General features: G+C 46.8%; 1 protein-coding gene across 8 annotated transcripts in view, besides 2 other annotated features; it reads right to left on the bottom strand.

The window, feature by feature from the left end:
- The window catches only part of MVB12B (multivesicular body subunit 12B), a 180,212-nt gene that overhangs the window by 107,004 nt on the left and 51,747 nt on the right, over window positions 1-21,461 (bottom strand). For 6 of the 8 annotated variants that reach the window (NM_033446.3, XM_017015275.3, XM_017015277.3 and 3 more), the window contains exons 3-6: window positions 18,866-18,973; window positions 13,379-13,475; window positions 7,842-7,971; window positions 4,340-4,462 (exon numbers count right to left, since the gene is read on the bottom strand). In NM_033446.3, the coding sequence (NP_258257.1) occupies window positions 4,340-4,462; window positions 7,842-7,971; window positions 13,379-13,475; window positions 18,866-18,973 (458 nt within the window). Of the gene's footprint in view, window positions 1-2,399; window positions 4,463-7,841; window positions 7,972-13,378; window positions 13,476-14,452; window positions 14,618-18,865; window positions 18,974-21,461 lie in introns of those variants that run through there. The other 2 variants (XM_017015279.2, NM_001011703.3) reach the window with 2 other exon arrangements.
- Window positions 1,409-1,468: a silencer, noted in NCBI's record as "silent region_20287". NCBI's record gives its function as "represses an Ori minimal core promoter by ATAC-STARR-seq in GM12878 lymphoblastoid cells {active_cell/tissue: GM12878}" and the evidence as "EXISTENCE:reporter gene assay evidence [ECO:0000049][PMID:35858748]".
- Window positions 19,808-20,715: an enhancer, noted in NCBI's record as "H3K4me1 hESC enhancer chr9:129141601-129142508 (GRCh37/hg19 assembly coordinates)". NCBI's record gives its function as "activates a minimal SCP1, AML or CMV promoter by ChIP-STARR-seq in naive H9 embryonic stem cells {active_cell/tissue: H9 hESC(naive)}" and the evidence as "EXISTENCE:reporter gene assay evidence [ECO:0000049][PMID:30033119]".

Here is a 21,461-nt window from a genome sequence, read left to right as displayed (position 1 = left end):
TCCACACACCCACGCTCCGACCCCCGCCATTTCACACACTTAGCTGCTAAGCCAGGCCTCAGTTTGGCTCCTGTGTGATGGATTTTTGAACCTCGGGGGCCCTCTCCGCCTGCGCCCATCGCCTCCCATGGCTCCAGCAGGTTGTTCTGGCTGTAGAGGAGATGCAGAGTATTGATTCTATCATTCAGCACGTCAGCTCACCCTAATGACTCTGCATCATCTGCAAATTTGATAAGCATGCCTCTGATGTCTTTATCAAGCCATGGTTCTGCTGCTTGCTGAGCTAGAGGGCTGCAGCCCACCAGGGGACTCCTCCTGGGTCGACACAGAGCCATTCCCTTATCACACTGGGGACTTCTGGTGCTCCAGCGGTTGTGAGCCCACCTGCCTCCTGGGGCTCTTCCCAACCTCTGTCCCAGCAGCAGCGGAACCTCTTCTTCCCAGCAGAAACAGGTGACGCCCTGCATGTGACAGACGGTGGAGGGGCTGCTCTGATAGAGGCCAGGAAGGTGTTTCCTCTCTTGGCCCCCTGCCCCAGACAGCATCACAGAGCTGAATCAGAAACCCCACCATCTGATCACATGCCCAAGGCTGACTCACAAAGCTGGGCCCAGCCCCAAAGAGGGCCACAGAGATGGGACTGTGCCTCCGTCCCCAGGCCAGCTCTCTCCTGTTGATCGACGTGCATGACATAGGCAGGCAGGGGATGGAGCGCCTGCGGCCAGAGATATGGAGAGGCTCTGGGTCCCAGAAGAAGTGGCTGCCCTTCTTCACTAGAAGACAGTCAAGAGATGTGTGTGGCGATGTCTGTATGTGAGATGAAGCATCACTGTATGAGGGAGAGGAGCTCTGCCAAGCTACCTTCTACCACCTTAGCCACCAACTCACTGGATACAGCCCAGGAGCATCCCTCTCCCTGGGGACCTGCCTGCTCCAAAAGGACAACTCCAAAGCCGGTGACACCACAGCATTTTCTGCAATAACGGAGCTTCTGCGGGAAGCTCCTGCTTCTAGAGGCAGTTCCTGCTTTTGGACAGAGAAGGCAGTGCTGCTAGAACCACGAGGTCCTCAGGTGATGGCCTACAGACGGTGCAAAGATCCACCTTTGTCTGAAGTAAAGCTGGGAATGAACGGCATTCCAAAAAATGGCAGGAAATTCTTTGAAATCTGAGCGATGACACAAGAAATGGAGGCGGAGCACATGGTTTTGGCTTTGGAGAGGAATACAGACTCAAGAAGGCAGCAAGATCTGTGACCCACCGCTTCCTAGGTCCTCCTGGCTGGCCTGGGCCAGGGCTCTGCGGCGAAAGAGCCTGCCACTAGCTCCGGCTCAGAACCGCATTCCCCGCCACCGCCACGGCTGGGCAGTAGAGGGCGCTGCGTCACCGCGCTCCCAGAGGCCCGATCCACGCCACACAAAGACCGCACTGGACGTGGTTCTCAGGTTTATGGTTAAGGCTACCTGAGAAAAGAGTAGCAAGATGCAGACTTGCTATTACACGATATGATATCACCTATGTAAAAAGTACACAAGAAAAAGACTTGAGGGAAATATAACAAAAGGTTATAAGCATCTGCTCGTGGGAAATGGAATTCCTGTTTTTTCATACTTTCTACATTCTGCCAATTTTCTACAAGCCTGGATTACTCTCGCCATAGGAAAAGACCCGCGCAGTGCTCAGGGACCAGGGAGTAGTCTGGAGGGGTTGCCAGGGACGCATTTATGGTGAAACTGAATTCGTGCCTGGATTCAGGTAGGCGCTGGGGAGCTCCTCGGAGGCTCACCACATGCCCTCACCACCACACGGGCTCGAGATGCCCCGGAAGCGCTCACAGAAGAAGACCCAGCACAGGCCCAGCCCAGGAGCCTCTGGGAGGGCTTCCCGGGAGAGAAGTCCTCTGCGCTGAGACCTGTCAAACACACCTCATGTGCAGGGAGCACCGGGAGCAAAGGCGCAGAAGCCAGGGGAGGAGGAGGCTGCCAGCGCACGTTAATGTCTGGGGCTCTGGCTGGGAAAGGGAAGACAGGAAATCCCGGAGCTGGTGTGCAGCCCTGCAGGCCCCACTGAGGGGCCTGCCTTACCCTATAGGCTCCTGGTAGACCCCCAGCACTCGGAGCACAAGCCCCAGCCACTGCTCCCCACCAGAGGGGAGGTGATCAGATTCCTCCTCTGGAGAGTGTAGAGACCTGAAGCCTCAAGGAATAAAACAGCATACTCATCCTTTCCTAGGTCTTCAATGGAAAATTTGAATGAATAATCAACATTTCATTTTAAAATAAATCAAAGATACTGGATAGGAAAACAACACACAAAAAAACCCCACAAAAACCAAAAAACCCTGATGGATGAGGCTTACATAGGTGTGCATCCTACCTGTAAATTACCGCACAGGAGAACTTGGGACAGACAAATGGCTTTTACTTGGAAGCACTAATGAACATTCAATTATCCTGTTGCATATTGGCTGACTTAACTCAGCCAAATTAGAATACATTTTATATTGACTATTTTGACATTTGTTTTATTTGGCAAGTAAAACAAAACTGATCCGATTTCCTTGCAGCCATTGTAAACCATAAACTGTACAGCAGAGGTGATAAAATACATAAGCCTTATAAACATCTGGTTCTGACGCACTACCCTCCAAACCCACCAGGCTGCCGGTGGCTCGGTGTTCTCGGCTGTCTTGCTTCAGGTGCAAGTGACTTTGCTCTCACAGTCACCAGCAGGCTTCTGAGAGCTCTCTCTGCTTTATCTGAGAGAACTGGTGTTCTTTCTTTAACCACAGAAAGTCAAAACCTGCCTGAGGTGGTGCCCATTTCTGGGCCCTTCTAGACCACATGATGTCAGCAGGGAGCAGCTGTAACAACTTCAGGGCAACTGCTCCTGTGGGGGCTTTCCAGCCTCTGCAAGGAGCCCACACTTGAGCTGCTCCAAGTACAAGTGATGGGCCTCAGCACAGGTGATGGAGGACCCCGACACACAGGTGATGGACTTAGCTGACTCCCCAGCACAGGTGACACACCTGATATAGCCTTGAGCACAGGAGACAGTGACCCTCAGCAGTGCCCTCCAGGGCGGAGCTGACAGCGCTCTGGCTCAGAAGTGAGGAACAAGTGCTGATGGGCAGTGCGAACCTCACACTCTTGAACCCAACAGAGACTCAACTGTTCACCCTGCAACTCTGGGAGGCTTATTAGAGATTCCTATCTTTTTATGCCAAATGAAACTGAAAACTACTTCTAAAGTTTCAGGCAATTCCAGGGGTAGTTAAGTTTAAATACCACTCTTGGTTTGTGAAACTGTCATGAGAAGGACCAGATTGTCTTTATAGGGGGATGTCCCAGAGGACAGAGTCCTCAGGGCTTTGGAGCCTCATTACAGCACATTCTTCCAAGTGAGACGGAGGCTTGGCACAGAGGAACAGAGTACAGAGAGCTGGTGGTATGTCCCGGAGGGCAGGCTGTATTGTGGATGGCCCAGGAAGACCTACTGGTGACTCTTCTGTCCGGTTCCTGACAGATTTTGTTCATCTCTATTCACCCACGTGGAAGCTTGGAGATCCATTCTCATTTACGTTATGTCAATCCCTAAGTGTTGCTGCCTCACCGTTCTTGTTTTATTTACTTTTGCAATCCCTTTCTCAAGCTTAATCCATCAGTGCTGTTTGTTCCTTGCCCTTAGTTTACTCCTAGTGATGCACAGGATTTTTATTTGACAGGATTCTTTTTGCAGAAAGTGTAGAGACTGTTACTACCTCTGTTATGACTGAAATCAGTTGCAGAGCAAACAGTTGGCTCACCCAAGTTTCTTTGCGGAGACAATTGTTAAAACTAGCATTTCCTGAAAAACTCCTCACTATTCTCTCATACCCAAACTACCCATTTCTTACTTTATAGCTCATTGGAAAAAGAAATTATATGAAAATGAAGAATATAAGAACTCACCTACCCTCCTGGGTTTCAAATGAGTTGCTGGCCAAGACAGAGAAGGAATTTGACCTTAAGGCCAGTGATCCCAACCCCATGGCTATACAGCACGTGTCTGTGTGTAGCTAGCAGCTCTTTTGAATAGGGAGCCAATTTTAAGTTGCATAATCTGCAATTTTAGAAGCCTGCAGAACACGCACAAAATAGACTATAGAATGGCCTTTGCATTCATGTAATGCAAAGATTTCCAAGTGGATTTTTAAAAATCTCCTCTAAAGATATATTGCTTCTACAATTATTCAGCTGTACTTTGCAGTATTTCAGCAGACACTAAGTGGTGGTGTTCTAAAATGTTGTGCAGGGACCTAAGACCACAGGACAACGCAAGACACCCCGACAAGGCCTCACCTGGGAAGGTTGGGGGCTGGGGTGGAGGCAGCTGATGACTGGGAAGGCGTTGTGGGTTGAGATGAGTCATGATTTCTTGGTACTCTGCCCATTCGATACCAGATCCCCATGCTGTTCAGTTCCCTTTAGGAAAAAAGAGAAATCTTCATGGCTCTGGTTAGCACAAAGCATTTACCTGAGTGACAAAGCAAACCAATTCATTTAAAAGAGTCATGGCCTCAAACACCAGGGAATCAATTCTTGCCCTCCACGTGAAATGGGTTCCACCGTCTCCTTTGTGCTCTGGGTGTCATAGTTCACACGAGGGTGACCCGTTCCATCTAGGCAGGCCTTCGGGACAAGGCCGCCTGCATCACCCTTCCCAAGCTTGCCTTCCTACTCCAACTGGTACTTTCCTTGCTTCTCCAAACTTCTTTTTGTTTTGCCATTTCCTTGTGGAGTGTGACGTGATAATCCACATCAAGTCCTTTGTGCAATTAGGAGAGACAGATAGGGAGATGCTGGTTTTTAACCATGAGAAGAATTAGCCCCCTACTCTATAACACACTCCAATCTCAGGATACAGCCTCTTGCAGCTGGGTGTCACCTGCCGTTGGACTCATTCTCAGGGTCAGTTTGGGAGTCATCTTCAAACTACAAAACTCGAGGCCCCATGAACCACACAACTAGGAGTGGACACCAAGGGGCCTCCCAGACGCCGCATAAGCTCTCCTGTGACCTCCCTCGCAGTCACCACAGCCCCGCCCCCTACTACACCACACACTCGTGAGTGCTGAGGAGACAGCCACGCTCCTAGGAATAGTGACGGGATCATTTTCACCATATTCAGTTTCCAACTTCCCAGTTGCCCACAGAACTGCATCTTTGGGACCTGATGTAGAGGAATATAATCTCTTCAAAAAATGGAAAATGACTTATTCTGTGGGAACCCCTAATAAGCTTCTCAGAACACCCCAGGAACCATGTAAAACCACAATCCTGTCTTCTTAGATGAGTGATTCCAATGAACTGCACTGATTTCTCCACCTCTGGGCCGTGGCCTCCAGCTGCCAGGCTTTGGAGGTGCTGTTTGCAATGTGAGGTTTCTATCTTCCCCAACTGACAATCCCAAACCCTTGCAAAGTAACATGTAGAACTGTGCCCGCTTTTAAGAATAAGTGACTTAGAGTTCTGAATACTGAATTCTCTTTCCTTGCTTAAAAATAACACTGGAATTGTCTTCCTCTGGAAAAGAACTGTTGCCCCAAGATGAAATAAAACTATAGCAATATTTCCAAAGTGACATAAAGGAAAAAAGCCTTTGGTTTTATCAAGGTACATACTGGTACATATCTATTCCTTAAAATTTTTAAATTGGTTAAAAATGGAATCTTTTTACAACAGGATAGTTTGTAGTTAAAGATACACATAGCAACTGAAATTAGATTTAAAAGTTCATTACTAAATTGCTGGTTTCTGCCATTTGTATGTAAATGGGTGCTTCTGAGGTGCCTGAAGTATGTTTATTCTAACTATTTCCTACTCCTGTAGTCCTGTTTACATAATTAGTGTAAACCGTGTTGCAAAACGGGATTTTTGAGTGTGTAGGAAGGGAATGATCACAGAGTCCTTCTTAACCACATGATCTTGACACAGAGCATTCAGATGCCAGAGCTGAACACCCACCGAGGTGAAACTCTGCATTTCTGTGGTACCTGCTCCCTGCATGCTTCAAGCAAATGCCACGAGGGCTCATCTGCTGTCTCACCGGGTCTAGGCTATCAGAAAGGCCCTGGCTGATACAAAGGCGGCTCTGGGCTCAAATGAACAAGAGTAAAGCAGAGTACAGGCCTGAGCCAGGAGGCTGGCCTCAGAAGCCGAGGAGGACAGGGTGCCTCTGGGAGCCCACAGGGAAACACATGGCCCCTGCCAGCCCTGGCCAGGGAAGACGCACATGGCTGAGGGGGCTGTAAACCATCTGCCACACCGAGTAAAGTGCACACCTGGATTTCAGTTGACTGAAGACAGTGAACATCTATTTCCTTCTGGACAGCTGGCATCCACTCACCCCCTTTCTGACTTTTGACTGCCCCTCCATATTTTAGGAGCAGCACCAGTCGTGGTTTGTCCTTGAGTTCCAATGGAGCTGATCCTACTTCCTGCTCAGGCCTGGTCAATGGAAGAATTTTCCAGAAAACAGTGACAAGCCCAGGGTGCACATGACCCTACCTAGATCAATCAAGACCAATGAGACTAAATTCTAGAACTTCTTTTGAACTGTCAGGAACACAAACTTGCTCTTGGCCTCTGGACTTGAACCTGGATGAAAAGCAGGTGGAGCTACTGTAGCACCAGGCCTCCTCGAGGGGGAAACATGTCAGAACAGAGCCCAGCACCGGAGCCAGGGGGAGACAGGGAAACCAGAACCCAGTGCCGGCCTTCAAGCTTCCGCTTCCAGGCATGCCAGTCCTGCCTCCCCAACTCCTCTGTGATGCCAGCCAATAAATTATTCCTTTTGCTCAAGCCAAACTGGGTTGGGTTTCCTGTCACTTACAATCAACAGAGCCCTAAGTGAAACCCTGGGATTTCACTGTAGTAAGTATTTATGGAGCTGCAACAGAGCCAGGCCCATGCTCAGTGCTGAGGCTGCTGGAGGAACAAGACACAAACGGGCCCAGGCCTCAGCAGTTCTCTGCTTACTGGGGAATTATCATGCAGCTGTGTAATATTTATGTTTCTTCCTGACTTGGAGCCCTCCACTGACTTTCTAGCGTGCTTGGAATAAACTCCAGGCCATGTCCTAGGAGGTCCTGCCAACCCTCGCCCTTGTCCCAACATTGTCCCTGGCTCTTCCAGCTGCACAGGGCTGTGTTCTGCTCCCAGAACGTGCCATGCTCATTCCCACTTCTCTCCTTCTGCTTCTGCTCTGCCTCAAAGACTATGCCTTCACATCTGTGCATGGCTGGTTTCCTGACATTCAGGTCTCTGCTCAAGTGTCACCTTCCTGACCCCCTCACGGAAGAGGCCCCCACTCCATCATTGTGTTTCACTTTCTTCACTGTCTGGAATTATCTCATTTATTTTCTTGTTTATTGCTCGTCTGTCCCTTTTAGAACATCAGCTCTGTGACAGCACGGCCTTTGCCTCACTTATATCCACATCCAGTGGCCTTGGCCCCGTGGTACAAAATAGGTCCCTGTGACCTTTCCTAGGGTGAATAACGAGTGTGAAGAGCTGAGGCCAGTGGCATCACAGGGTGTCGGGGAAGGACCCAGAGGAGCTTCAAGGCTGAATGCGCAGAAGGGCAGGGGAGGAAAGGCCCTAAGGTGGAGTCAGCAGTGCGAGCCGAGGCTCAGAGAGACCGCAGCTGAGCAGGAAGGGCAGCGAGGAGCACTGGGCTGACAGAGGCCCATGGCTGAGAGCCTGGGGGGCTGCATGGAAATCTCTTGGACCTCATTGCCTGGAGTGGCCTGAGTGCTCTCAGGGAAGAGAAGCAGCTGACAGTCCTGTTATTAAGACTCACCCAATAAACGTGTACTGAGGCGGGGCCTGCTTGGTCCGGCCCATGATCCGAATGTCACAAATCGCAGCTTCCGTTGAATCCCGTGGAATAAATTTAATGCACAGCCTCTTCTTCCTAAAAGCCACTTCCTCTGAAGGAAAGGACAATAGAAAAGGTATGAGTTTTCCAGAGATACCAGAATCTCTATTCTGAAAACCACATCCCCTGTCACGCCCTATTCCTGGCAGCAGAAGTGGCAGGTCACCTAAGCTGCTGGACAGAAGGGCTGCGCTCTGCCGCCTGCCTTCCCCGGGGCTGCAGTCACCCTGCTCTGCATGTGGGACCCAACCCAGACACCCCCTGCTGAGAAGGGGACCACACACCCTGCAGTAAATCTGGGTGGCTTCTAAGAGCCGCAACCACAATCTGCTCACTGCTCAGCCATCAGAAACCTGCACACTGACGCCCTGAGCATTAACACATTTCACCACACGGACTTCTTTTCTTTTTATTACAGAAATCTTCAAACATACCCCAAAGCAGAGAGAACAGTGGAATGAATCCACGTGTTCCCGTCACCCAGTGTCAATGCTGTGCACAATGGACAAGCTGGTTTCCTCTCCTCCCACCCCTGCAGTTTTGCTGGATATTTAAAATGAATCCCTGACGACACTACGTTATGTCACCATCAATACCTCAGTAGGCATCCAGGACACTGTTCTTTAAAGACCACCATGCCATCACCATTCCTAACAAAACGAACAGAATTCCTGAGTATCATCCAACAGAGAGTCTACATCCACGTTTTCTCCAGTCTGTCTGCATCTGGATCCCCAGGATGCTGAAACACTGCCTCTGGGTGTCAGGCCTCCCAGATCATTTGACTCTGGAACAACCACTCCTGTTCCCTTTTCTTCAGGGCACTAACAGGTTGGAGAAATCGGGTCACTCCCCTGTGCCTCCTGTAGGCTGGCAGAGCTAAAGCCTCGATTAGACTCAGGTTAGGTTTTTTAGGCATGCACGCCGTCCGGGGTACACGTAAGTCTAGGCTGTCATATAGTGAGGCCCAGAGTCTGGCTGGGCCATTCTTGCTGAGCTCTGCTGGCGTCGGCCCAGGACCTCGGTCACACAGTTCCCCAACTGCCATCCTCTGAGCACTTTCTCACCCTCTGATGACTGTTGCTAAGATCCATGTTTTATTAAAGGTTCACAATGGTGATTTTTGAACTCTGTCATTCCTTCTGCTCTTTTTTTTTTTTTTTTTTGAGATGGAGTCTCACTCTGTCACCCAGGCTGGAGTGCAGTGGCATGATCTTGGCTCACTGCAACCTCCACCTCCGGGGTTCAAGTGATTCTCCTGCCCCAGCCTCCTGAGTAGCTGAGATGCGTGTTACCATGCCTGGCTCATTTTTGTATTTTTAGTAGAGATGGTGTTTCACCATGTTGGTCAGGCTGGTCTTGAACTCCTGACCTCGTGATCCACCCTCCTTGGCCTCCCAAAGTGCTGGGGTTACAGGCGTGAGCCACCGCGCCTGGCCTCCTTCTGCATTTTTTAGCTAGAATCCTTCTATATGTAAAAAATAACTTTCCTTCATCAACTATTTGGTCTCCCTGAAATAAGTTTTGTATAGGAAAAAAAGGATAAGCACGTGATTCTTTTCTCTTACTTATCAAGCCTTAGAGTAAGGAGTTGGTGCTCTAGCAACCTCCAGTGCTGACCAACGGGAGGTGTGTGTTTGTTTGTGCTTTTAAACCTGAGTTTCAACCAACTGCGGCCATTTAATACACGAGTCAGACAGATCTGGGTTGAAATCCCAACACCAACATTTCCTGGCACTGTGACCTCAGGCAAGTTACTTAATTTCTCTGAGTCTTGGTAAACTGTAAAAGGGAGTTAATGAAACCCACCCCACAGGGATGTGGGTTGGATGCACTGTGCCAACACATATGATCCACTTAGCCCAGTGCCTGGCACACAGTAAGTGCTCAGTAAAGAACAGCTGTGTGGGATCTTACCGTCATTATTGACAAGTAAGCCTCTAGCATGTAATTTATGCCTGTGCTTGGTATTGGGTTTCAAGACCTTGCAATTCTGTGGCAGGAAGTAAGACATTCAACAGCACATTCAAATTGAGGAACAGAATGAGGGGAAGTACAGTCCTGCCCAGGGTTTCTTATAGGGGCCGGGAGTGGGGAGGGGGACAAGAAAATCAGTGGAATTGTTTTGTTATTATATTTTGAGGGGGGTAGGGTTGTTTTTTAAAGAGTCAGATAACTGTGGGTTCCTCAGGCACAGAAACTGAGGGCTAGAGCAGATCTACGAGCAGAGAGAAACAACGTTCTGAATCCAGACCCTAAACATTGCTAAACATCTAGGAAATGATCCTAGAACTGGAAATGAAGAGGCCCCTGCTGCCCACCCTCCTGTGTGACAAGACCCAACCTCAGGGTCCACACTTGGGACAGCAACCTGGGGAGTTGGGGGCGCTGCTCATGGCAACTCTGCAACTTCAAAGATTATCAGCTGATCAGATCGGCCTTAGAAAGCACGAAGAAGAGAGACCTTTACACAAAGAAAACTAACGCCGGGTGTTTCACTTGCTGTTGCCACGCTGCTCTTGGCTCCATTCTTCCGTCTGCAGCAAACTCGGGGTTAAGAGATGGAGCCACTGATTACACATGCTTAAGCAGGCCTAATTTTAAGTAAACATATTATACATAGTCAATAGAAATGTGTTCAGTCATGCTAATGAACACAGAGAAAGTACACAGCACTTTACTAAAACAAACATCTTCCAGTTTTTCAGTGCTATATGGATTACAGCAAACCATATTTTCAATGAATTACAGGAGTCTCCTGTTTTTGGCTGACTGTATAAAATCAGGGTCTTGAATACTCTCAGATGATACAGAGCTGATCATAAGGCTTATGTGGCCAGCTTGGGCTCCTCTGTTCCCTGGGTGAAAAGCTCCAGGAAATGTTGCTAGAACCAGAAATGAAGAGACCCCCTGCTGCCCACCCTCCTGTGTGACAAGGCACCTGGCATTGGGCCCAGGACCGATCTCAGAGTCCACACTTGGGACAGCAACCTGTGTACTCCCAGTCACAAGGGAGAAACTTCCCAACCAGGACCCCTGGGCCCCACAGCAGCTGGGCCCCAAGCCCAGACAGGACAGAGCCTCAGTGAACTGGTCCAACTAACCTAGAGGAAAATGCAGAATGGAAAACCCATTGTGGCTCCACAGCACATCAATATAAAAACATTCGAAGTCAACTGACTGTCAAAAAACGAACACCAATGCAAATTTTAAAACTGTGAAAAACACAGGGGAAAAGGAGGAAAGTGATCCAAGTCTTGGAGAAAACTGTAGATCCTAAGCAGAGGAGATAATACAAATGGCCAACAAGCACAGAAAAAGATGCTAAACATCATTTGCCATCAGAGAAGGGCAAACAGAAAGCACAAGGAGATTCCATTTCACACCCACTAAGATGACTAGAATCAAAAAGACAGACAATAACAAATTGCTGGTGAAGATGTGGAGGAATTGGAATCTAAGGACACTGCTGGTGGGAATAAAAAACAGTGCAGCTCCTTTGAAACATCATTTGATAGTTCCTCAAAAATACCAAGTTACCATATGACCCAGCAATTCCATGACTAGGTAGATACCCAACAGAAACGAAAACATAAGCCCAACAAAAACTTGTACATGAATGTTCATAGCAGCCTCATTCCTAACAGCCAAAAAGTACAAACAACTCAGATATCCATCAGTTGAATGGATAACCAAAATGTGGTATATCCATATAATGTTATATTATTTGGTGATAAGAAGGAATGAAGTAATGATCTATCCTACAACGTGGGCCAACCTTGAAAACAGTATGCTAAGTGAGAGAAGCTGGTCACAAAAGACCACACGCTGTATGATTCCATTTATATGAGATGTCCAGAATAGGCAAATCTACATAGAAAGTAGATCAGTGGTTGCCTAGGGCTGGCGGGGAGTGGGGAGGTGAGGGTTGGAGAGCAATAAGAGAGTGATTGCTAAGGGGTACAGGGGTGATATCCTGAAAATGGGTTTTGGGGGTGATATAATGTGCCATAATGGTTGCCAACTCTGCATTTACTAAAAGCCACTGAACTGTGCATGTTAAATAGGTGAATTGCACGGTATGTGAGTTATAGCTTAATTTTTTAAAACTCTGTACATTAATATAAAACATATCTGTAAAAGGTGCTTATACACATGCTCTTCCAGTGTGCCGCCGTGGTTAAAAGTGTGGCTGGAGTAAGACGTATGTGAGCATTCTAGTTATTCCTCCACTTCCAGATGCATGACCTTGGCTAAGTTCTTTAATCCCTAAGGAGTGAGTGTGCTTCATTTTTCTCATATCTGAAATGGGTATAATAATGTCCATCTCTAAAGAGGGGTCTTCTGAAGATTAAATGAAATCAGGGAGGTAAAGCATTTATCACAGGGGTGAACATACAGTAAATGCATACTAAATATCAGCTGTTATGATTATCAGGTAATACATAAAATAATAAATGACAAAAAGCAATCCAATGTTGAAATGTGAAGAGACCATCAGGAAAATAAAAATATGCTATACAACGGGGTCTGCTGGTTTCATGAAAATAACAGCAGGGGATCTGCGTAAAGATAGAAACTCTAGTTCATATCATATGAAGTGCTAGCAAGAAAACAGCAAAAAACAGTGGGACCAAAGTGGGGCTAATTATGAAAGAATAAAGTATGAGACAGAAAATGAGACAGAGAATTTAATAAATAAACCCTGAGTCGTAATGAAAGGATTCTCTGTATTTGTTTTGTATTCATTGCTTCACTGTTGTAAATACCATAAAGTTGGCTGACCAGTGATTAAAAATGAAACAAGGTAAGTTAAATTACACCAAAACAAGGAAGCCGAATCACCAGAGGTTTTCCAGCACCATTTAATAACCCATGTGTGGGTCAAGAAGCTCCAAGGGCTCCAACACCCTGAAGACGCTGCCGATTCCTCAGTGATTCACTTCTGCTTGGACCTGCTCAGTGGTCAGAATATTCAGTCCAATTCGAACCTATGAACTTTAATTTGCAGTCTTTTTGATTCTCACTTTTCTTGTTTGCTCAACGGGCCCCAAATGGGCACATTATTGGCCTTGTGTTCTCTGGGCGTCTTTTGATTGTTTTCTTTCCGCTTCCTTCTGGGTCTTATGCCAAGCTTGGCTTCAGCAACACCAGAGGAAGGACTAAAGACAAACTGTATAGTTTCACCATTCCATTCCCCAGTGAGCCGATTCAGCAGGGAGCACCATTCTAAAAGAAAGGCACGTTCTGCTCATTTACATGCTGCTACCCAGAATACTCTGCAAACTCCTTGGAGAACCCAGCCAGACACACATCAAAAGCAGCAGGGTTTGTTCATGGGCATGTAGTAAGGCCTCCAAAAGTGTTTCTGAAGAAAAATGCACATAGAAAAACACCTACAAATATACCTGGAGGAAGAAAACGCTCATTGTGATGAGTGCTACTAAAGGATGACTCACGTGTGTCCACCGTCTCCTGAATTGGGATGAAGCCCACAGGCAGTGTGTCCTTGATGTCAATGAGCTTCATATCTACTAACACGTTCCCCAGATGACTCTTGGGAAGAAAGAAAAGAGATACAGACTATTAATCTGAACATGCATGTGGTGGGTTTGCCATTTTGGCTTCCAGATGCATATTTAACACAATGACTCGTGCAGCTTTATGACAGCAGGTTAATTAGAGTAGGTGACACTTAATGGTCCCCAGTGGTTATGCAGGGACTCGTGTGGCCCCTGGGAAGGAGTTTCATCTGCGGAACCTCAAAGCCACTCAACTCAGACACGGCCTTGGTGAGGCAGGAGCAACCCAGGAGATGCTTTAGACATAACCCAGCAGAGGGCAGCTGTGCACACAGGTCCCAGGACCAGGCTGCCATTCAGCCCTGAGCATCAGATCTCAAGGCCAGGAGGTTTTAGGAAGAGCAAATTCCTGAGGCACTCGTAGGAAAGAGCTGCATCTAAACCTAACAGGGAACCAATCACTCTCCTAAGTGATCACCAGTCTGCATACTGACACACATTTCAGTTGCTAGATACATTCTGCAAAATCCCAAGAATCATACACTAATACAGAGTGAAAGCCCTGCTGCCTCAATATTACACATCTTCTAAAATGACACGCACAAGGGCCTCCTAAAGTTTCTGTTTAGTGGTAGTATATGGGGTCCACAGTGCGCAGTTTCGGTAACTGGTGTACAAATATCTTTCTAAGACAGTACACCATTCTGTAATTGCGAGAGAGAATTCTTTGCAAACACGCCAGCACTTGCAGCCCACATTTCAAGCTGGAAATGAGCTCTAAAGATATCTACCCTACAACTTAAATATGTGGGGCCACTTTGGAGATTTCATTAAAATCTTCAGAGTAATTTGCAGCTTGGTTCCCCCTCTCTCGTCAGAGCCAGTTAAGGAAAGAATGATGGGCTCAAATCCCAAATCTCTCCTGTTAGGATACTAGCAGTGCACTCCACGTGCCCATTTTGCAGAAGTGCCTCATCCCCGAAGCCCAGTGTGAACATGCTCTCTGTTTACTTGTTCAGCATCCTTGGACAAGCATCTAGTTGGTCAGCCATCACTCTGCCCTGGACAGCAACTTCTCAGGCTGTTGTTCCATCTTGCTTAGAGAAGAAGGGCTGCTACCTCCATCTCTGCACATGGGAGCCAAGATCCCACCTCCACCTGCACTGTGTCACGTCTCTGAAAGCCAAGCAGGGAGTTCTTATCATCTAAACTGTGTTATGTTCCCTCTTGGCACTCTCTTTTTCCCTTCCTATCAATTTATGGGGTTATTTGTTTAATATCTGTCTTGCTTCTAGAGTTTAAGAACCATGAAGACCAAAACTATCTCTGTTCCTACTATAAATACAAGCCTAGCATGGTTTTTGCCACACAGCAGGTGCTCAGTAACTACTTGCTGAATAAATTAATTTCGGGTGCACATTTTTCAACCGGGCCACTCAGAGTCACAAATCGAACTGGAGGCCGGGCGCTGTTGCTCATGCCTGTAATCCCAACACTTTGGGAGGCCAAAGTGCGTGGGTAGCTTGAGTTCAGGAGTTTGAGACCAGCCTGGGAAACATGGCGAAACCCCATCTCTACAAATTAAAAAAATTGGCTGGGTGTGGTGGCACTCATGCATGTAGTCCCAGCTACTCAGGAAGCTGAAGTAGGAGGATTGTTGGAGCCTGGGAGGTTGAGGCTGCAGTAAGCCAAGATCATGCCTCTGTACTTCAGCCTGGGCAATAGAGTGAGACTCTGTCTCAAAAAAAAAAAAAAAAAAAATCTGCCAGGCATGGTGGCTCATGCCTGTAATCCAAGCACTTTGGGAGGCCGAGGCAGGTGGATCACTTGAGGTCAGGAGATTGATACCAGCCTGGGCAACATGGTGAAACCCTGTCTCTACTTAAAAAAAATACAAAAATTAGCTGGGTGTGGTGGTGGACGCTTGTAGTCCCAGCTACTTGGGAGGCTGAGGCAGGAGAATCGCTTGAACCCAGGAGGTGGAGGCTGCAGTGAGCTGAGATTGTGCCACTGCACTCCAGCCTGGGCGACAGAGGAAGACTTCGTTTCATATATATATATACACACACACATATATCAAGTTGAGTTTGCTGAGATGTCAAATCTAAACTATATGATTAAAAATATCAAAAGTATTGATATACACTAATAAATATTATGAACCAAAAGTACACAAATGAAACCAATTATTAGAATTTAACTAGGAAGGTCATAGCAGCAAGTGTAATCTATGACCAGTGTTTTTACGGCACTGCCATCAGGAAACCGTTTCTTCCTCTCAGAACTATCATATTTACCAACAATTTGATATTCTGACATTCCAGGTAGCTGGGCCTCGGGAAGACAATGTACAGTGCAGCCTAGTTAGTGGTAAGTGGGACCCTCAGAACACGGAATAAATCTCTGACCGTGTAGGAAGGGTTTGAACTGTTAACCTAACTTGCAAACATCAGCTGCTTTCAGAGTCGCCTGGTCTAATCTATCATAATTTTTTTTCATGGCAGTTGCTTTTCCATGTCATCACTGCTTTCTGCATTGAGAAATTAACAACTAGGCATGTTTTCCTGCCCCGCAGATGGATGGGCATTCATCAATATCCTTCTCAAATGTCTTCTGCTTGACAAGTTGGGTTTTACAGAAGTCAACTGCAAACCACTTAGTGACCTCACCCTCCACACACTCTACCAATGTCCCTGATCATAAAACCTGAACATCAGTGGTGTGGCCATTAAAAACAAAGCATCAAAAAACCCTTGCATGCATACAAAATGGGAGGCTGCACTGTCAGAGCTCCCCACAGCCCAACTGTGGTCCCTCCTCACACAGGGCTGCCACTGTACTGGGTTTAATACAGTGGGTCTGCGACACCATTAATTTTGCCTGTTCCTCTCCCCTCCCCCATCTGTTCTCTCTTTCATTTCCTCCTCATAAATATGAAGAACGTATTCCCAATCCTTGTTGAGCAAATGATTCATGCCAAAAGCCCAATATGCACTGACTCAGGGTATTTATATTGTCTCTGGTAGCCAGTATTTGCTAGTATACTGTAATTATTTTTGACAACCTTGCATTTAAGGTAGCCACAGATAACCAACTTAATATTCAAATGTTCATAAATCCTTCTGTTTAATATCCTCCCTACCTAATCTATGTACATTATTATTACAGGTAATGCAGAAAGTACAGGGCATGAAAAGTGCAATTAATCTCGATCCTTCCCCAGGAAGCAATGTCACTCCAAAGCCAGATTTCTGTATTAATAGCATTATTGGGGGAAAGGAATTTGGGTTCCAAAGGAGTCTCCCAAAACTCCTACATTGGGAGTCTCAAGTCAGCTAATTAAGAATCTGTCCAGTCTTGAGACCCCACATCCCTCCTTTACAGTTGTAAAAAATGATGGTCTGCAAAGTCTTGGTTTGGACTACAGGGCCAGCATAGACTGGCTGTAACAGATTAAAATATTCTGATTCCTCCTCCACTCCTGGGCTGGCAAGTGGGCCCCTGCCAACTGCTGGTACTCGATCGTTTGGATCGCACTATTGGATCCATTCATTCTTTTTCCAAAAACAATATGCACCACGCACCTATCTCCTACTCTGCTTCAAAAGTGAGGCAGAGGCTTTTCACACTGCCCTTGTCCTCTTCTTACATCCCTCCATCATGCCCAATAAATATCTTTTTAATGTTCAACATATGTTGATGAAATCAATGTGTTTTCTTTAATACACTTACCCATGACACCCAATGCTAACAAGCCCCAGTGACTTCTCTTTGTCACATTCAGGCCTGTCACTGTCCCCACTCCAAGGGATGCAGGGACTCTGCTAGCCTAGGTACCAACACCCCATAGTCTCTGGGGGGAAATGCAATGAAAACAAAATTAAAAAATGATCACAGAGATCATGGCTGTCCTCAGGCCATTTTTAACTGAAGCCTCTTCGGCCTCTACTCATTTTTAACTGAAGCCTCTACTCAGCCTTCAGCCCACTCCTGGGTACCTCAGGCTGCTCAGTGAGCTGGGGGACCTGCAGGGACTCATTATAAGATCTCAGTGCCCTTGTCCACTCTTTAGCCCTGCCACCTTCCTGGTATTTAAAATACACTCAAAAGCCTGAATTGAAAAGATTTCCAGACTTTTGTGTCAAGATTTCCCCTGACTCCATTATAAACTCTGTACTTCACAAGGAGCATATATTGCTCTTGTAATTAGGGGAAAAAATAAAGCAATGACTTTTCTCCCAGTCCTGTATATGTTCAGAATAATTATCGTATCAAAGAATTAACCACAAACAACAGGAATGGGTGGCAGAAAAGAGTGCAAGCCAGAGAGCCACATGATGGTCGATATTCAGAAAACACCAAGGGGACACGCCAGGACCCTGTGATGGGACCCTGGGCCTGCGGGGCCAGGTGGCAGAGAGGATGACTAATGCTCTCCCCCTTTCATGCTGTTGAATGAGGATATTTGTTGTCTGGGTTCAGTTTTTTTTTTTTAACTGCAAATAAATATTACTTTTATAATATAATTTATATAAATAAATAAAAATATTTCCCAAAATAAAAATTTACATGACAAAGAGACAATAACATATGGCCAAAAATAAAATGTTAGCCCTGAAAATGAAAATCCCAACTGCTCCCTGTTTGGGGCTGGGGAAGAGAAGTAACCTTGAACAAGCATATTCCCTCTTGGATCTCGGTTTCTTCAATGGAAAGGAACTTCCACTGGTAGAGATTACCTGGGGACAGAATGAGGTGCCCAGGGCAGGCCTTGTACAGAGCAGATACTCACCAAAGCTATTTCCTTTCTTTCTAAGCCATCTATTAAAATATCTTATTAGATGTTTTTAAAAAAAAAACCTTAGTAGGTATCTTTAAAGTTTCCTAATTTACAGGTGCAAGTATTTGTTTTTTTTTTTAAAAGCATAGAGAAATCTACATGAGTCAATACTTACCTACAAAAATAACGAAATGTGATATGTCACACAGAGACTCAAAGAGCGAGGAAACGTCACTGTGGAAGCAAGGGCATGGGGTGGGGTCACAGGGGCCCTCCCTGAGCCATGCTGCCTTTGCTGGCCAGCATTAAATCCCGCTCCACTGGAGAACTCTCACTGCCGCACTACCCTGTGATCTGTTGCTTGGAGGAAAGGTAGGCAAATGAGAGCTGGGAGAGAAATTTCCTGGTTTCCTTTTGAGAACACAATTTAATGGAATTCACGGTACACTTGGGTACGTGGTTAATAACACTGTTAATAAATGAAACACAGTGCTGGCTGCTGATTCTACCCAGTTCACTAAAACCACAGATAAATTAATATGGCAATGAAAATAAACCACAACAACAACAAAATGAGGAAATTCCAAACAGGAATGTAAATTACTTGTGCTCACTCAGCAAATGGAAACTACGACTAGACTTACATTTTCTTTGGAAAATGATCTTGTGAAACACAGGTATCTGGTAACCTTGGATTTAAATAAGCCGTCTTTCCAGAGGTCAGCATCCACACCATCTGCTGTCTGTGCAACCTACACCGGAGAGACAGAGAAAAGGATTGCAGGTAAGGCAGGAAGGAACTGAAGGTGCGCGTGGGCCACTTCTTCCACGCCTGTTCCAATTAACACCAGCTTGGGATCTCCCGGCATCTCATTAGCTCATTTCACTAGGCACTGGGATGAGATTTTCCAAAAGGGAGGGTGTGAAAAACACAACTTCTAAAAATACTGTCCCTGGGGAAGCCATTGATTAAAGACACCCTGACAAAAATGATTCTAATGAGAAAAGAGCAACTTTTGTCGTAATGGACCAAGAAGGGATTGGGTAAGTCAGTACATTAAGCGGCTATTACCACTTACTCGGGGGGATGGTGCGGGGTGAAGAAAGGAGTCCACTGGGTGTGATGAGCCACCTGAGGGGGCGCTGCCTGCGGCGAGGGTGACACAGCCTCCTGCTCTAGGGCCCCAGGACCAGCTGGGTGCTTCAGTCAACGGGATTCTACTGGAGGCTGGGGCAGGGAGGGAGGTCAGAAACATTTCACTCCACCCTGCGTCCTCTTGGTACAAGCCCTGACAGTGGGGTTCAAGGTGAGAAACTGGATCAGGATAGAAAAACAAAAGAAGACTCACTCGGTTCCTTGTTTCTAGTCTCACTAAGAAGCCATTTTCTCATCTGCAGCTGTAGAAATTCTCACTAGGAAGAGTCTGAGAATGACGCCAGCCAGCCTTGATCTGAGTATCAAAGCCCCTGTGACCTAGACTGGGGCTGGGCTGGGGGATATTCCCATGAAAGACCAGGCTTTGTGGGAGAGAGTGCAAAGGAGATGGGAGAGGAGGAGGAGAAGAAGGCTAGGAGAGGGCGGTGCTTTCTTCCTATTTCTTTCCAGACTGCTCTGTGAATCGCTGGTCAGGGCTTGGTCTGTTTTCTGACTCAGCCTCCCTCTGAGAGCATGAATCAACCTTGCACACCTTCCTTTAAGCACCGCGAAGGGGGACATCCAGGAAGACTGAGGAGCAGTGCCTGTTTTGGGATAAACTCTGCAGGAGGTCTCTGAGCAGTTCACTTTCTGACTCCTTCTGGGTTGTCCTTTTGAGCTTCAGACTTTGGGATCCAGTCCTTGACCTGACAAGCTCCCGCCCATCCTGACAAATGGCTGGAAGTGCCTCCATTCTTCACACAAAAGTGCCCTGATTCAGCCCCATCCCACACACTGACTGCAGGCTCTGCACAGAGCATGGCAGGCCCCACAGCACATGGATGGCCTCTGCCTGTCACAGGCTCAGGGCGGAGGCGGGAGCCAGGACCCCAGCCCAGTGGGCTCAGGCTCCCCAGGACATTCCTGGAGCCCACCACGGCCACGCTCTCTGAGGCTGCCTCAGAAAAACCAAAAGGCCAGGAGGCAAAAGAAAAAATCCTTGTTTTTCAAACCAAACAATTGTAAATTAGCAAATATAACAACAGGAAAAGAAAGGCCCTTATGATAAAGATGCAAATATATTTGACCTGAAAGCTGAAGGAGGAATGGTATGGGGATAATTTTAGGAACTGTTTGCTCCAAGTATGTCACCCCCACAGATAGAAACACGATCGAATGGGGGTCAGGCCTTGTCAGCATCTTTCCCCATAATGGTCACACATAGAGTTTCTAGGGAAACATGAGATTTAAGGCAGTGGTCTCAGCTCCTCCACACAAAGCACCCCCTATGCTTGTTTTCTCCCATGGATTACATGTTTTGAAAGATTTTTGTCTCCCAATGCAACTTTACTGTATTTCCTCAATTCTAGGATGCAGTCATTTGGGGAACACCCCTTCACACGAAAAAGGCACAGCACCATATCCAAACACATGCATCTATTTTAAGATGCATCCCAATTTCAGAATCACTAAAATGTAAAAATAAAAGATGCTCTAAACAAAGGGAATAAGGGAACCTACATGGTCTCTCTATAATAAATGCATAATTTCTGAAAAACTTTCAAAAACAGAAACTGTCTGCAGGACGCTCCAAGGCTGTGGAACCACAAGCTGCCTTGGAAGACAGGGAGCTGTGTCTTTAACGTTCCAAGAGACAAGGGCGTCTAGAAGGGCTTGTTTGGATATCTGGAAGTGCCACAGAGGGGTGCTGTGCATTCTAACCCAAGGCTAGAAAGGTCTCCAGGGCTTGCCAATGATGGTTCTCTCCACCCACCACACTGCTAGAACTGTCCTTTTTCAGAGTGAGAAATGAAAATGTAATGGGAGAAGCCGGCAACGTGAGCCCCTCTGTTTGAGCCCACGCTTCACTGTTTGGGCAGTTAGAGCCTCCCAGTCCTTGTCTGCGAAGCATTAAAAAAGGATGACCAAAGACCCAGCTTTGACCTGGGCCCAAACTCATTTGCAATGACGTGGAAGTGTGTAAAGGCATCATGAAGGGCCCAGGGAGGTGAGGTGGGAAGAAAGAAAGAGAGAGAGAGAGAGAGAGAGACAGAGAAGAGAGAGAGAGAAAGAGAGAGAGAGAGACTCCCCTAACCTCCAAGGAA

Source organism: Homo sapiens, chromosome 9 (assembly GCF_000001405.40).
Source record: "Homo sapiens chromosome 9, GRCh38.p14 Primary Assembly".
Classification (NCBI taxonomy): domain Eukaryota; kingdom Metazoa; phylum Chordata; class Mammalia; order Primates; family Hominidae; genus Homo; species Homo sapiens.
Note: the sequence above shows the minus strand (reverse complement) of the source record. Positions and strands in the feature narration are given on the sequence as shown.